We start from the raw sequence: 17,329 nt of genomic DNA on the forward strand, positions 1-17,329 counted from the left end.
GCCCCCTGTGGTGAGAGGAAAAAAGATACAGCAATTTAAGTGCTGGAAAGTTGAAAGGGAATGAACCTCTCTAGTGTTTGTGGTCGGGGGCAAAGCAGTTGTGCTGAGCTTTGGAATGGAGGCACAACATATGTGCCTCAGTTGGACAAAACGCTTCTCGAGTCAAATCAACTGCTAGGCCTGCATGTTGGTGCAAGGTGGAGGCCTAGATAATGAGGGACAGACTCCTCGAGAAGCAGCGAGTGGATAATGCTACATAAGTATGGAATTATATACCGCATTTTCACCATTCTGTTTAATGAGAGCCGCCACCACAGCGAATCACTTGCCACACAGCCGAAATGGGCCATTAGCTATCGAGGGAAAATTGTCTTTGCCGCTTTCAGCAGATGGAGCAAATATTTTACAAAGCAATTTTACATACCAAAAACATTTGTGTGCCTTGGTAATGTTGGCTGTTTTACATTATGTTACCTTCTACAGCAGCATAATTTTCCATCTCATCGAAGGCAAAGTTGGCATTTTTGATTTTTAAATTCTCAATTAACAATTAAACATGGAGTATTAAAGCAGTCCTTAAACTTTAAGTAGGTGTGGGAAGTAGTTTATGACTTGCCAAAGACATTTTCATTTTTTCTTCATCCTCTCAGCATATTTTTGCACTCTAAAGAGGGACTATTTCTAATAATCTTGATGGAAAGGAATGAGTGGAAACTCCACTGCTGATTGCAGAATGAGAGTTACCAGTGCACACAGTGATCAGAGCATTTGCTGGCTTAAAACACCCATCATGGGTTGTGGATACACAGGTTGATTCCCCCATTTGCATCAGTTTAAAATGTTTTAAGTTTCAAGTAACAGAAAACCCAACTCAAAATGGCTTTTTAAATGATGAGAATGTATTATCTCAAAATGGCTTTAAAAATAAAGAGAATTTATTATGTCAGCTAACTAAAAATTCAAACATTGGTCTGGCTTCAGACAAGGCTCAATGATGTCACCAAGGACCCAGTTACTTTCCACTTCTGTATACTACACTCCATTCTAAGGCTGGCCATCCTTACGGTTACAAGATGGCTGCCAGTAGCTCCTGCAGTTTGTCCCTGCTCAAGGCAATAGGAAGAGAGAACATCTCATCTGGTAGCATTCTCAGAAGAGCATAAAGCTGCTTTCTCAGAAGCCCCAGGAAGTGCTTCCTAATATTTGATTGGTCTAATTGGGTCATTTGCCCATCCTGAACCAATCACTGTAGCCAGGATGTGGCTTTGCTCATCAGGGCCAATCCTTGCAGCTGAGTTGGGGGGCAACAATCTCAATCAACTCACATAGTTAGGCATGGGGAAAGTATTGGTCCTGAAAGAAGTTTGGAATATTATTACCCTGAAAGAGGGGACATAGATGCTGGGCAGCCAGTGACAAAGGCCCATGCTACCATATTTTCATACATTTGACAGCACTGACTTAGCATCACCTGTGGATGATATAATCCAGCCCAGACTGAGCACTTGTGCCTTGATGGCAGTTACCAGCACAGATTCCACTGCATCATGGCACACTGGTAGCAATTGGGTTTGAATCCCTGTTTTGCTACTTTATGGCAGTGTGACATGAAAAGGGGATGACACTGTCTACCTCAGAGAGTGGCTGAGATAATAAATGTAAACCACCCCCACCCCACCCCTGCACATGCCTACCATATGGTGAGCTTTTAATTATTAAAAGCTTTTAGGATTTTAATAAAGCCTAAAAAGTGACTAAAATGTATCCTGTGCACACGGAGGCAGCCCTTCTAAATTCACCCTCAAATTTGGAACCCCTCCCTTCTCTCAATCTGTACCACTAGCTGATTCAAATCCGGAGCACCTTTCATGGTGCTCCCCACTTTACACTCTGAAGAGGCAGCAGGGCCGGTGGGGAGCACTTACCCAGGAGTCAGAGGCAGCCAGAGAGCACCTGCGGCCTCCCAGTGTGACTGGAGAAGCCCTCGTTCCCTCTTTTGTGACATGAGGCATTTGTCCTAGATAGTCCACATGGCTCCTTTCAACACTGACAGTCTTGCTTACTTTTTCAGGTCATTGTCTTGCCCTTTTCACTCTCCAGTCCTTCATGTAGGGATGTCAGAAAGCATCTAGAAATCAGAACCATGTAGGCAGGTCCCTTGATTTTCTTTTGAACACCATCAGTGTCTGATATGGGAGATTTGAGGTGATTAACCAAAAAGTTATTAATTCACCACTGCAGATTGGCACATGACCCAATTACACCAATGTGTGTCTGTATGTGTGTATGTGTGTGTAATACACACACACAGAGGCACTCTTGGAATTTACTTGGTTGGGGAAGCTAACTCTGTAGAGTTTGAAGTAGCTTTAGTCATTGAGTGCAGTATTAAGCTTTAGTCACTAGCTTTAGTCATTGAGTGCAATGGAGAGTCTACTGGCTTCCCCTAAGATATCCTGAATTTCATTCATTCAGACATCTCTTCCTTCAAATTTACACTTTCTTGATAGAAAAAGAGAGAGCAAGAGGCAAGTTACATACTTGGTAGACAAGAATCTCTGGGGTGCATCGGCCAGGCTGGTGGAGCCCCATGCTTTCTGCAGATGTCTTGGAACCTTCCAACGTCCTGACGATTGTTGATGCACTCTGAGAGGTAAATGTGGGCACTGGAAAAAGTGGAGGCAAGCCTGTGCAGTGGCAAAGATGGGGCTGAAGTTTCTTCTGATGGGAATTGCCCTAGAGCTATCAGCCCCACAAAGCTAGCCGCTAATTGCATTCCCAGAGCCAGTGCAATCATGATGGAATGAAAATCTGGAATTCTGACTTTTTTCAAAAGTCAAGTGTATTTTTTCTAGCACTTGTTTATTATCAACAAGGTATATATTTTTATTTCCACACTTCCCAAGTCATTAGCTCTAAATGATCTGTTCAAAATGGATAATAGCCTCTCTGAAACACTGATGTGGTCGCCCATCGTCCATCACCTTGTTGTTACTCAATGCAAAGCAAAAAAAACTTCCTAACTACTCATTTCACAAGTTGTTGTTGTCTTTTTTTTTGTTTGTTTCTTAAGAGACAGAGTTTTGGTTTTGTTGCCCAGGCTGGAGTGCAATGACGCTATCTCAATTTACTCTAACCCCTGCCTCCTGGATTCAAGCCTCAGCCTCCCAAGTACCTGGGATTACAGGTGCCCACCACCACGCCCGGCTAATTTTTGTATTTTTAGTATAGACAGGGTTTCACCATGTTGGTCAAGCTGGTCATGAACTCCTGACCTCAAGTGATCCACCCACCTCGGCCTCCCAAAGTGTTGGGATTACAGGCATGAGCCACCGCGCCCGGCCTCATTTCACAAGTTTTTGAGATAAAGAAGATGTGCCCCTGTTGCTGGCTTATAACAGATATTCAATATATATACACTTTGGGAAGATAGAAAAGGGAGGAAGAAAGCAAGCTAGCAATGGTTCCCCTAACTCTGTTATTTTCTGTCTTTCATCATTTGTTGAAGCTCACTGAGTGATCTTACACAAGCCTCTTCATTCTAAGTGCCTCAGCTCCCATTTTAAAGCAAGAGAAATAACATGGTAGTGGCCACTGCAGAGTGTTGCTGAAAGTACTGAATGAGATCATGAATGTGAACCTGTGATGAGACAAAGTATTTTACAAATAGTATTCTAATGATTCACATGAATTGGAGTGTTTGTCTGTTATGGAAGGTGTGTGTGTGTGTGTGTGTGTGTGTGTGTCTGTGTGTACATAAGTTTGTTTTGAACAAAATAAACTTGAATAGCTACAGATCTTCCCTTACCAGCATCTGCCCTTAAAGTTGTGGCAATTATGTTTGAACTATGCAAAATGACAAAAACCAGAGAACAGAAAGCCCCCCAAAAACTGAGAGCTTGCATCTGACGTCGATAGACCCATTGTGGCTGTTGGGACCTTGTTGCTTCTTGGGAAAACAGTGTTCTTAGCTTGTTAAACCACTGCTGCGATGGAGTCCTTTGCTCCTGGATTTGAGCTCTGGCCTAACCCACCAGTTCACAAGCAGCTTCTGAGTACCAGCAGAAACCAGACTGTAAAGGGTTGTTTTGTTGGGGGGATAAAATAAAATGAAGCTTTTACCAAGAATGTCATTTTTCTGACCTTACTTGAATATATGAGCTGCAGGTCCTGCTGTATTTTTTTGGTTTGTTTTGTAGGGATAGGAAGACAATTTTCATTGGTGCTGAGGCCATTCTTAGTATAATCCTTGTTTTTCCCATCAGACACTTTCAAAATAAAGAAATAAATTAAACAGTTAATACCCCTCTCCTCTTACCTCGCATTATTCCTCTCCATGCCTTTTTTCTTAGAGAATGAATCATGGCCCCAAGCTGCCTCTGTGTGCCCCAGCATCCCTACTGAATGTCACCCCGCCAGTGCCTTCAGCTGTGTACCTCTCATGGTAGGACACGATTACTCCTCCAGATTCCAGCAGCCGACTTTCCTCTAGGAAATTTACCTCCTTACTGGGGCTTTGTGCACAGTGAAAACTCCAAGCGTCAAAGCAGAATGGCTGGCTTTGTGATCAGAGGCGGTGGCAGAAGCCTGGCACAGTGTCCAGATGCCACACACAAGCAGCAGGCTGATGAGTTACTTATTGGCCCTCACATAGTATGTTGCATCTGAGGTGACACTTCATAAATGTGACCTCGTTTATCTTCCCGATGCCCTTCAGAGGCAGGGAATCCCATAAAGTCCGCCCAGGAAGAATTTGTGGTTCTTTAGCAGCCTTCCCTCCAGCTGCTTCCTGAGCAGCAAGGAGGAACCCATTGAGAGGTTTCACGTTTTATCTTATTCTGTAACTTCAGCTTTAAGGACTACGTCCTATGTTTACCACCATCGTGACTCATTCTGCAGACATTTAGTGTTCCCTGTGCTGGGCACTGGGAGACTGACCTCAAAGCCAGTGGCCATGCCATTAAGCAGCCCCAAGAGAGCTGGAGAGCACGGAGAAAGCTTTCTCTCCCAATTGAAGAGAAGGCTTCCTGGAGGAGCTGTGGCTGGAACGACCTCAGGAAGGATGAGGAGGAGTCAGCAAGGGGAGGCAGAGGAGGGCAGGTTAGGGGGAGGCTGGGAGCTGAGCAGGAAAGTGAGGCCACATTAGGAGCCAGAGGCCATATCACAGAGGACCTTCCTCATCTGTCATGTTGAGGAGTTTGGACTTGATCCTCAAGTTGAAGGAGATCTCCTTTCAAGATTTACGTGGCAAGGGTTTTACCTGCTCCTTCACTGCCTTTTCTCCCTCTCTCCCCAACACCAAAAAAAAAATATATATATATATAATATAATATATATATGTGTATATATATCACTTTTTTACTAGTTCAGTTGCTTAAAAGGCCTGACATTCTGTAATTTTTGCTATATAGATGAATGAATGAATGATTTATCTTTGGACTGTCTTGGTATGAATGACCACATGTGTATAACTGAGTAGATGATTTCACATTCCCCAGCAGTGGGGCAGAAAAGGCCATTTAATCAAGGCAGAACAAAGCAATTCCCACTTGTCTGAGAGAGGGCCCAGGCTGTGAGACTTCCTTTCCTTGCCATTCCATTTTCCAGAGAAGAGTGGGATTCTAACGCCGTGTTTCATTGTCCCAGCTTTGGGGCACTTCATAAATCAGAGACAGTTGGTCTTCCTTGATAAAATGGAATGGTTTTAACTGAAACAAGTGTAAAACAAAAGAAAGATGGATTTGGGGGACTGTTCAGAGAAGGAACAAAGAAGGGGTCCGGGTTGCTGGAGCTGTGCATTTCACATGCTTGTTTATAATTTAGATGCAGGGCTTTGGGGCGATCAGGTAATTCACAGTAAAGATCAGAGAAAATGTGCACAGCGTATAGGATATGAAGGGAGGGAAAAGGCCCATTGCTTTGACAGCAGTTTCCTTGTCTCTGCATCACAAGACAGAGCTCTCTGCATGAACGCTTCCCCAGCCCTTCTTAACAGACCTCCTCCCACTGTGCAGGGAGTCGTCCTGAGCTGAGTGTGAGCCAGGGCACTCTCCGCTTCTCAGGGCAGTTCTGTTTTGTATGTCAAGCACTTACTAAGATAACTAATGAAACTCTCCCACCAAGATTTTCTGGATATTTCGGAAGTTATTCAGATTTTTTGAACCCGCTGAGGGCATAGTGTCAGATGTTTGTCTTCTACTGTGGGTTGTCAGTGGGCACTGGACCTAGAATCAACCAGCTGTTCCAAGGAGTTGGGGTGAGCAGTGCATAGAGGACAATCACTTTTTAATGGTAGGGAAATTGGAAATAAGTGTGTGTGATTTCTAATATTCCAATCCCACCCCCAAAGCTGATCCCTTCAAATTACTGCACCATCACTCAGATTCAGAAGTTCCCCTGCAACCTAAAGTAAATCTGAGTTTTTCTTGTCAGTGCTCCATATTTTGAATATGAATATTGTCTATCATATGAGTTTCGATCCAGTACCCTGTCTCACTTCTGGCAGAAATAAAATCTGAAGAATAAAATCAAATCTAAAAAAAATAAAATTTTTTTAGAATTAGCCATGCATGGTGGTGTGTACATGTAGTCCCAGCCATTTGGGAGGCTAAGGCAGGAGGATCATTTGAACCCAGGAGACTGAGGCTGCAGTGAGCTATGATCACACCACTGTACTCTAGCCTAGGTGACACAGCAAGACCCTGTCTCAAAAAATTTTTTTTAAAAATTAAAAAATATATGGAGGTGTCCAGGTGCGGTGGCTCACACCTGTAATCCCAACACTTTGGGAGGCCAAGGCGGGTGGATCACCTGAGGTCAGGAGTTCGAGATCAGTATGACCAACATGGTGAAACCCTATCTCTACTAAAAATACAAAATTAGGCTGGGCACAGTGGCTCATGCCTGTAATCCCAGCACTTTGGGAGGCCGAGGCGGGCGGATCACCTGAGGTCGGGAGTTTGAGACCAGCCTGACCAACATGGAGAAACCCCGTCACTACTAAAAATACAAAATTAGCCAGGTGTGGTGACGCATGCCTGTAGTCCCAGCTACTCGGGAGGCTGAGGCAGGAGAATCACTTGAACCCGGGAGGCAGAGGTTGCAGTGAGCCAAGATCACGCCATTGCACTCCAGCCTGGGCAACAAGAGCAAAACTGCGTCTCAAAAAAAAAAAGAAAAAACAAAAAACAAAAACAAAAAAAACAGTTAACCCCACATTTTATATAAAGGGAAACTGAGGCCCAGAATGAGAAAAGATATTGCCCAAGGACACTCTGCTGGTCAGGCTGCCAGCTGCAGTGGGTCTGAAACCTCGTTTCCTGATGCCCAGAGAGAAGGGTGCCTTTCAGAGACAACAGGAACAATTAAGAATTTTTAGGGCGCCAAATCACTTTTGAAATATGAAAACTGAAATGGCTGAAAAAAGAGAGAACATTTTCAAAATGGCTTTCTGACTCTGGGTAAACAGTAACCACATTTTTTTTGCCTGTTGGAGGCCTGGTTTTTAATCACTCCACAAGCAGTTTTCATTTCTGTAGTAAAATTGCTTGTGGTTCTATTTAATTTGTTTCTGCAGGAGCCAGCTTTGGTGAAGATCTCTGAGGAGCTGGCGGGCATTTTAGCACAGCACGCACAGCCAGTCAATGAGAAACGGTTCCCGACGTGGAGGAAATTCCTCCAAACATTTCTCAGTCAAGGTAAATAAGACTGTAAAGTTTCTATTGAGGATTAGTCTACACAACCTTGGATTCTAGTTTTGGGTCAACTGGGGCCAATTTAAATACTTTGCATCTCCTGTGTTGGTTTAGAAAAGTGCTCCTACGGTTTTCTTTTTCAAATGTTGCCTAAATATTTATCTTACACCCAGCCTCTTAAGTAAATAAGAACCTAGCATGCCAAGCATGGCATGGGAAGCTCAAGATTCTGGGCCTTTTTTTACACTACAAACTTCTCCTGAGAGGTGGGCTTTGGAATCAGATTACCTGGGTCTGGACCCCATCCATGACCTTGAGCAAGGTTCTTAAACCCACCAAGGCTCGTTTCCTCACTTACCTACCTTACAGGGTCATTGGGTGGATTCAATGAAATACAGATATGAAAGTTTCTACCACAGAACCTTACACAAAATCATCTTTAATAAGTGTTAGTTTCTCCTTCTGTTTTCTAGGAGAGCAAAAATGGTCTCGCTTCCAGTTCTGAATATAGCATTTCCAAACAAGGGTTTTCTACAATCCAGGAACAAAGCGAGCCTCCATTCCTTTCATCCTCCTCCTCCTACTTCATCCTCATTTCCTAACAACATTGGGTGGTCTATGAATGAGGGAATGAATGGAGTGAATGATGCCTGTCTACCGTCTCAGAGGTCCCTGTCAGATGTTACACAGAGGCACACCTATGCAACGGCCCTCAGTCTCTAGGAGGTTACAGTGCAAGACATCTTACATGCTTACCCACATGCACAAGAAGAAAGGGTTAGTATAACAGGCCAGAGAAGGTATCTTTCCACTGCTGTCAAGTGATAATAATAATCTCAGCAATAATCAATAATGATAAGATAATGTCATGTCAGATGATAACAGCAGCAGCAATAGCACAGTGATGATAATAATAGTGAGCTTAGATAGTGCTTATTATGGGCCAGGCACTCTTCTAAGTATATCTATGTTAACTTTTCAAAGCTTCCTACCCATCCTATGAGGTGGGCACCATTATCACCCTCATTTTATAGAGGTGGAAAACTGAAGTACAAAAGATTAACCCCAAATCACTCTGCTAACACGTAGAAGAGCCCATGAAAAGCTACCTCCGTGCTGCTCCAGGAGTCTTGGGCAGAGCCAGTAGTTACATTTATCAGGGCTTATTGTAGCTCAATGTATGAGAGTGTATGAAAGGACAGATCTGTTGGTTATTGGAATATACTGGCTGGGCAGGGTGTATTGGATACCCTGATAATGAATTATTTAAGCAAGGGGTTGAATGGCAGCCATCTAACAAGATTGCTGGAAAGAGATTCTTTGCAGGGGACAGTTGTGCTAGACAAGTTCCAATGTCCTTTCAACTCTAAAATTTTGTGATTCTGTAAATTTCCACATGTACCCACTGATAGACAAGTAAGGAAAGTCAACCCCATGCATAAATGGAAGAAAATCAAGTGGCTACCACACACACACACACACACACACACACACACACACACACAAGATCAATAATAGGGTGTTTTTACTTTTTTTTTTTTTTTTTTGAGATGGAGTTTCACTCTTGTTGCCCAGGCTGGAGTGCAATGGTGCGATCTCGGCTCACTGCAACCTCCGCCTCCTAGGTTCAAGTGATTCTCCTGCCTCAGCCTCCTGATAGCTGGGATTACAGGTGCATGCCACCATGCCCAGCTAATTTTTGTATTTTTAGTAGAGACAGGGTTTCACCATGTTGGCCAGGCTGGTCTCAAACTCCTGACCTAAGGTGATCCGCCCGCCTCGGCCTCCCGAAGTGCTGGGATTACAGGCGTGAGCCACTACGCCCAGCCTAATAAGGTTTTTTTTTTTTTTAAGTTATCGGGGGAAGACCATGATGATCTCCAGGCCCGTCCAGGTCATTAGGAAATTTCCAGATCTTCCAGCATCTGCCTGCAAAAGCCTCCCTCTAAACTATTTCTTTTCATGTGAGTTTTGTAGATGAGAAAGGCTTTCCCAGCGACTGTCTCATCTGAGCTGTATAACCACAAGCTAAGGCTTCACCTCTACCTCCTGTTCATCTTTATCCTGCTTTCTCAGCCATGCTTATTTATGGAGAGCAGTACAAGCCTTGTTAACTTAATTTTCTTCATGAAGACACTGAAGCTCAGAGATTGGAGGGGACTTGGGGAAAATCACACCACAAATAAGTGGTAAATGGAACACAAAGTTAGATCCTACAATTTTAGTACATTTAAAAAACCTGGTTCTTGAAAGTCATGTGTTTTCAAAGCTTCTGCCTTTCTCTCGACCCAGTGCATACAGCAGGCCCTGCATCAATGGTCCCTAACTGAGCCAGGGTGTCTCCCAGGTTTCCCAACTCTAAGGTCACCATCTCCCTCCCTCCAGCTTCCACCATTGCCTGTTTCATTCCATTTATGTTCTCTCCAGTGTGCTTATGGCCACAAAATGTGCTAGGGTTTGATTTCTAAATTGTCATAGGATTATATCAGAAGCAATACTTTTTCATTTTAATTTTTATTTTTTGAGATAGGGTCTCGCTCTATCACCCAGACTGGAGTGCAGTGGCACAATTATAGCTCACTGCAGCCTTGGCCTCCCAGGCTCAAGCAATACTCCCATCTCAGCCTTCTGAGTAGCTGGTACTACAGGCGCACACCCCCACGCCCAGCTAATTTATTGTTTACAATTCACAATTTTTTTGTAGAGACAGGGTCTAACTTTGTGGCAATACCTTTTTCAGAGGAGGAATTAATTGCTTTGAGTGGAAAAAAAGTAACAGTGAAAAGGTTGTGGTCATGATGCTGAGAAGATAGTGCAAGTAAGCTACTTTGAAATAAAATACCCAAGTAATCTTGTAAGTTATGAATGATAGTGTGTTTCCACTGAAGCACTATCTTTCAAAACATAGGTGACGGCTAAAGGCACAAAGTTAACCAAAGCATAGAGACTCACTAGGTTTTTTACTTCTGTAGATTTTTGTCATTGTTGTTTTGTTGCATTTACCTTGCTAAATCCCCAGCAACTGGTATTTAGGTGTAGCACACACGAGTAGGCCTCATTTGAAGAAAAGCATGTCTCAAACAAACCAAATAGAAAAATTAGGATTTGAATATGTACACTCCAAAATCGGTTTTCCTTTTGAAACTTGGTGTTTGTTAGGACTACCTCTGACCAAATTTATAGACATTTAAGGAAAGTGCTTTTTAGATGAAGTAACAGATGACTGCATTTGAAAACTGCTCATTTTTTTCTTTGTATGCTATTCAAAGTCTGTGGCTTACACCTGTAGGCAGAGGTCACACTTCTCCCAGCCCCCAGCAAATTTGTGAAATACAGGCCAAGTTTCTCTTAGTGCTGTCAGGTTCTAGACGGCACCCTATCTATGGAACACTTTGTTGTTTTTACTTTTAAATTATTTAACTCTTTACAAATAATATCTTAAAGTTTTTCTCTACAAAGAGGACATATACAGTAAGATTTGTAAGTTGGGCCTAAAAACAGAAGATTGGGGCTATGTAATTTTTGTGGACACCACTGAGATAGCCCACAAATTAGCCAGAAAGATGTTATTGCTGTGCTTGAACACCAGACTTGCCTCTATGATTTTTGGCATTCAAAGCAAAGGGTAAAATGTAATAAATTATAAAGCTCTCATTATCAGCAGAGAGAGCATATGTGTTCTTCAAACACGGCAATATCTCTTGGTTCTATATTTTTAAAAATGTTTTATAACTGGCTTTATATAGAAGTCCTTTGGCTGACATGATGGTCAATGTTCTCTCTGCCCACAAAAAGCCCAAACCTGTCAAACCTTCAAAAAGCAGTGAAGTTTACCAAAAAGAGCACACTGGTAATCAAGATGTCAACTGTGGACTATGGGCCGTTAATTCCCCATGAGGGATTTGACCATAATTCTTGGGTTCCCTGTTTAATAAGTGGGCATAGACCCAGTGATCCTCACAGTGTCTTCAAATTATAATCAGAATCAAAATTACCATTCATTGAGCCCTACAATATACCAAGCGCTGGGCTGAATACTATAGATAGATACAGTATCTCCAAGATGCACAACAATCTAATGAGGTAGGCTTTATTATGCCCATATTACGGATAAAGAAAAATAAGTTCAGAGAATGTAAGCTACTTGCCCAAAGTCTTTCAAGACATGGCAGATGCAGAATCTGAGCCCAAGTCAAACAAAATGCATGTGTCCTTTCACCTACTCCATGTTTTTCCCACCAGGGGGTGTGATCGAAGCATTCCCACCTGCAGACAATGTCACCAACCTCACAGTGGACATGCTGATAGAGCCCAACGGGAAAATCAGCGTGCTGTCGACAGGGGACCAGCTTCATGCTGAAAGCCCCTTCATCTCCTCTGGTACCACCGTGCCTCAGACCTCAGTGGATCCCCAAGTTCTCACTTATTTGTGCCTCCAAATTGGAAAAGCCTGCAGAATGAGAGATGTGGTTGGTTACTTTTCGATAGATCTGGTGACTTTTATAGATCCAAGCACCTTGGAACAACAGGTAAGTTGAATGGATGCCATACGAAATGCTAAAATATGTAATGACTCCGCACCCTACACACCTACAGTACAACAGGGCATATGAGGGCTCTTCTAAAATGCACTGATTCTCTGATGAACTTGCTCTAAATTCAACACCTATATGGCCCATGCGAATCCAAGTGGGACCAGGCTTTATGTCTGGAAATACAGGGCCAGGGTTGTCTCGTTCAGGTACAGTTGGAGTTAAAGAGTGACTGAGGCCAGGCACAGTGGCTTACACCTGTAATCCCAGCACTTTGGGAGGCCGAGGTGGGCAGATGCCTTGAGCTCAGAAGTTCAAGAGCAGCGTAGGCAACATGGAGAAACCCTGTCTCTACTAAAAATACAAAAATTAGCTGGGCCTGGTGGCATGCACCTGTAATTCCAGCTACTTGGGAGGCTGAGGCAGGAGAATCACTTGAACCCGGGAGGCAGAGGTTGCAATGAGCCGAGATCATGCTACTACACTCCAGCCTGGGTGACAGAGTGAAACTCCATCTCAAAAAAAAAAAAAAATAGTGACTGAATCTCACCCCTCACAGTTCACAGCTCTTTTGATTAGGCCCTCAATTCTGTCCATTAGTGTTATCCCTATGTATCATGAAACTATTTTATGCCATCCAGGGAGTGGAACCGGTCTAGAGCCTGTTTTATATAGAAAATCAATCACTAGAAAGGAGTTAAGAGTTCACATTTCTGTTCCTTTTCTTATCAGACAACTTAGATTGTCTCATTTTTTTCTTTAAAAAACGTACTGAGAGATACCTCATAAATATAAAAAGGTCTAAATAATAATATAATCAATATCATGTGCCCCTGCCCAGCTTAAGAAACAAAGTGGTGTCAGTGCCACCTGCAGTCCTGTGTACTCCTTGCCAAGCACATGGCTCTTCCTCCTCCTAGAGGCCAGGAGGAAGCTACTGTCTCATACCTGGGGTTTTAATTCCCTTTCATCTCTATGCTTTCATCACACATGGATACACCCAAAAATAATGTAGAGTTTTATTTTGCATGTTTTTAAGAATTTTGTAGATCATAACATTCTATCTATTATTATTTTACTGTATGCTTTTGTTTAATATTCCATTTGTGAGATTCTTCATGTGCATAGGTATGGTGCTGAGATATACTATTCAGGATAAATCATCTTTAACCTTTTTCACTTTGCTTTTCCCACCTAAAAGTATAATGTTAAAGTTCACTACTATTTCACAGGACTCGTGTTTTAAAATGTCCGGTTGCTCCTCTCTTAGTGCTGCATGTCCAGACCTCTGTCTAAAGGGCGAAATGACCTCCTGGCCTTCCTCTCTCGATATCGCGATATCCTCTGGTCATCCGCATTGTACATATACTTTGGTTGTTTTAGGATCATTATTCTCAGTTTTACAGTTCTCCATTTCAGTCAGATGATGGTTTCAAAGTGAGAGTTTATGTTTTTTGGCAGTTTTCAGCTTGTTCAATAATCATTTTCCATTTGCCTTCCTGGGCCCTCCATTGGTTTTACATTCTGTTCTCAGGCCTGTACATTGAGAGGGAAAAGAACAAACTGAAGGTCATTCAGAACTCTCCCTGTGGTGGAGGCAGGACAGAAACAATGCTCCCTGGGGAAATCTGGATGGCAGGGATGCAGGGGGAGGAGGAGCCAGGGGAGGCTGCCCTCCCCAAGTATTTGTTGTAAGAAAGATTGGCTGGGTGTGGTGGCTCATGCCTGTAATCCCAGCACTTTGGGAGGCCGAAGCAGGCAGATCACTTGACCCCAGGAGTTCAGGACCAGCCTGGGCAACATAATGGGACCCCATGTCTACAAAAAAATACAAAAAAATTAGCCGGGCATAGTGGCATGTACCTGTAGTCCCAGCTACTCAGGAGGCTGAAGTGGGAGGATCACTTGATCCCAGCTCACTGTAGCCTCAACCTCCCACCTCCTCTGCAGTGAGCCAGGATCGCATCACTGCACTCCAGTCTGGGTGACAGAGTGAGAACCTGTCTCAAAAAAAAAAAAAAAAGAAAGAAAAGAAAAAAAGGCTGGGCACGGTAGCTCACGCCTGTAATACCAGCATTTTGGGAGGCGCAGGCGGGTGGATTGCTTGAGGTCAGGAGTTCGAGATCAGCCAGGCGTGATGGTGGATGCCTATAATCCCAGCTGCTCGGGAGGCTGAGGCAATAGAATTGCTTGAACCCAGGAGGCAGAGGTTGCAGTGAACCGAGATGATGCCACTGCACTCCAGCCTGGGTGACAGAGCCAGATTTCATCTAAAAAAAAAAAAAAAGAAAAGAAAAAAGGAAGAAGGAGAGTGAGAAAGAGAAAGGTAAAACTGTGGTCCCTGGGACAATAGGAAGGATGGAACTATGGAGACAGTTGACTTGTGGCTTTTATTTATTTGAGTTTGGTATAAGGAAACTTGCACACAGCAGTCAAAAGGATCTTCTCCAAACACGATGCCAGTCCTTCCTTGGGCTTACCACCCTTCTGGGCTTCTGGCTGAAAGGTCCCACCCTTCACTTGGCTGGTTCCATGTACCTGGCCAGTCTTGTCTCACCCTAACTTGCCCTCTGTTTTGTTCTGGTCCATCCACACACCCTGTCTCATTCCCTCTTACTCATCATATTCCCTCTACCACAGGGCCTAAACATGCTGTTCCTCCACCTTAAATGCTCTTGCCTTTTCTTTTGACCTAGTTAGCCCCTTTTCCAGCCATCACATTTCAGCTCAAGCCACATTGACTGAAGCGCTTCCTGACCTTCCTGACAAAGTCAAATTCTCCTTTTTTAGGTTTTCATATCATTGTGTAGCTGTGTGTGAGCATTCCTCGTACCACTTATCTCAGTTACAAATTTAAACTTATTTACATGACTATCTGATTAATATTTTTCTCCTCCTATTAATTGTAAGCTCTTTTAAGCGATGTGCTGTGTTTCTTTTTGCTCCCCCACTGTATTCTCAGCACTTACTTCTGTCCTGGCACAAAGTAGGTATTCAGTAAATATTTGTTGACTGAATGAATGAACAATGGAGGAGTTCTAGCAGATGCTGGATGGTATTGCAAGGCTTTTGAAGAAGGAGCTCAAACATTCATTGGATGAATGGGATAGATAGATATTAGATTCTCTGATTTTATCATACTATGAATTTTCCTTGTCCCTTCCCATAAATACTTCAGTATATGATCATTTGTGTTATAGTTATCAACAGAATATTGGAAGAAGTTCTCAGTGACCACACCAAAGGGTGTTTCTGCATTAGCAAGAGAAGTATGTTTGTTCTCTGTATATAATAAATTATTTACAAATCACTGGCATATTTTCTAGCCATTTTGCAAGTGGTATCACTTCAGAAAACATCTTAATTTTTTTTCTAATTGACATGCCTTGTGATGCCATTGAAGCGACTGGCAGGCATATTATCAACCTCTCATTTTTTGTCAGTCTAACAGGTTAAAAATTTTTTGTTTTATTCAGCATTTCTTTGATTATTAGTGAAGATCCACACCTCTTCATATGTTTGTTTGCCCATTTATATATCTTTTCTTAATTGCCTAATCATATCTTTTGCCCCAGTTAAATTGGACTATAACACAAATGTTGATTTGCTGGAGCTCTTTGTATATTGGAAACTGTCATTCTTTGACTATTATACATCTTGTAAATACCTTCTCTCAGATTGTCATTTGTGGCTTTCCTCTCTCTCTTTTTATTTTTGGCCATGTTTCTCCACCATAAAAATTACTATTTCTGGCCAGGTGCGGTGGCTCACGCCTGTAATCCCAGCACTTTGGGTGGCCGAGGTGGGTGGATCACGAGGTCAGGAGTTCAAGACCAGCTTGGCCAATATGGTGAAACCCCATCTCTACTAAAAATACAAAAATTAGCTGGGCGTGGTGGCATGTGCCTGTAGTCCCAGCTGCCCGGGAGGCTAAGGCAGGAGAATCACTTGAACCCAGGAGGTGGAGGTTGCAGTGAGCCAAGATCGCGCCACTGCACTCCAGCCTGGGCGACAGAGCAAGACTCTGTCTCAAAAAACAAATTACTATTTCCTCCCTTGTAATTGATTAGTAATATTTTGTAGAAATGTGTTCCAAGAGTACCACAATAGTGTATTGCTTATCAAATTCCACCCAGAAAACTTAGCATCCATTGGCAACTTTTTCCACTACCACTACGATAGTGGTAATTTTGTATTTCTGTGGAAAATTTTCTGGTAAAATTTTGTGTAGAAATTTCTGGCAATCTACTGCAAGAAACAATTTTCCTTCTCCACCTCTCATTTATGCCTGTAGGTCTGTATGTATTTATGTCAGTATGAAGTCATGGGTTTCTATTTTATTTAATGGGTTGTATTTTGATACTTTCATTGTTTTGATGCTCAGTTGTTCCAGATTTGGCCAGTGAGAGACCCTTCAGGGTGTGTCTTGTGTCCTTTTGACATGTCCTCATCATTCTTTGAGCATGTCTTACTTTCTGACACAATAAGATGTTCCAGGCTCATTTTCTATTTTCCTTGCCCTGGACCTAGGATCGACTCAGAAGCCCTGTAAGATCTGGGCTCTTAGTGCTGCCATTGCTACTGGAGTGTCACCCCTTCTGAGACCTCTCAGTGGACAGAGCTAGCAAGTACATGTATTACGTAGGTACAATACATACACACAGTTATACACACATATATGCATATAAACACACATATGTACATATACATACATCTGTGCATCTATAACTATTTCTATATCTATCAAGTGTTTATATTATAAAACCATGAGTTCCTGCCAGCATCTCCAATTTCAATCCAGCACCTCAAGGTTCTTTCTAGAATTCCCCTTTTCCACACTTAAAAGTAAATATCTTGATGGATATCCTGCTTACTCTGATTTGGGGTACAATTACAATGTATCCACATTGTATGCATGTATCAAAATAGCACATGTATGGCCAAAATATATATAACTATTACATATCAATAAAAAATACCAAAAAAAAACCCAACCTCATACTCATTATTTAAACTTACAAACTAAAAAAAAATAAAAATAAAAATAAAAATGAAAAGCTAAATAGAACTTGGAACATAGTAACTGTGTATATTTACAAAATA

The 17,329-nt window shown here is 42.5% G+C and overlaps 1 protein-coding gene and 1 long non-coding RNA gene across 12 annotated transcripts in view, besides 1 other annotated feature; one reads left to right on the forward strand and one right to left on the reverse strand.

Annotated features, from left to right (window-relative positions):
- The window catches only part of IQCH (IQ motif containing H), a 247,019-nt gene that overhangs the window by 154,569 nt on the left and 75,121 nt on the right, over nucleotides 1–17,329 (forward strand). For all 10 annotated transcript variants that reach the window (NR_147832.2, NM_001031715.3, NM_001322475.2 and 7 more), the window contains 2 exons: nucleotides 7,577–7,697; nucleotides 11,937–12,223. Coding sequence is in view for 9 of the 10 variants with exons in the window: in NM_001031715.3 (NP_001026885.2) it covers nucleotides 7,577–7,697; nucleotides 11,937–12,223 (408 nt within the window). In the remaining variant the exon portion in view is untranslated. The remainder of the gene's footprint in view (nucleotides 1–7,576; nucleotides 7,698–11,936; nucleotides 12,224–17,329) is intronic.
- The window catches only part of IQCH-AS1 (IQCH antisense RNA 1), a 118,234-nt gene that overhangs the window by 5,744 nt on the left and 95,161 nt on the right, over nucleotides 1–17,329 (reverse strand). For both annotated transcript variants that reach the window (NR_040051.1, NR_040052.1), the window contains exon 5: nucleotides 11,981–12,144. This is a non-coding gene — a long non-coding RNA (IQCH antisense RNA 1). The remainder of the gene's footprint in view (nucleotides 1–11,980; nucleotides 12,145–17,329) is intronic.
- Nucleotides 4,777–5,071: an enhancer, noted in NCBI's record as "tiled region #12968; HepG2 Activating non-DNase unmatched - State 10:DNaseD". NCBI's record gives its function as "activates a minimal TATA promoter and a strong SV40 promoter by Sharpr-MPRA in HepG2 cells {active_cell/tissue: HepG2}" and the evidence as "EXISTENCE:reporter gene assay evidence [ECO:0000049][PMID:27701403]".

The sequence above is a fragment of the Homo sapiens genome, chromosome 15, assembly GCF_000001405.40.
Source record: "Homo sapiens chromosome 15, GRCh38.p14 Primary Assembly".
Classification (NCBI taxonomy): Eukaryota; Metazoa; Chordata; class Mammalia; order Primates; family Hominidae; genus Homo; species Homo sapiens.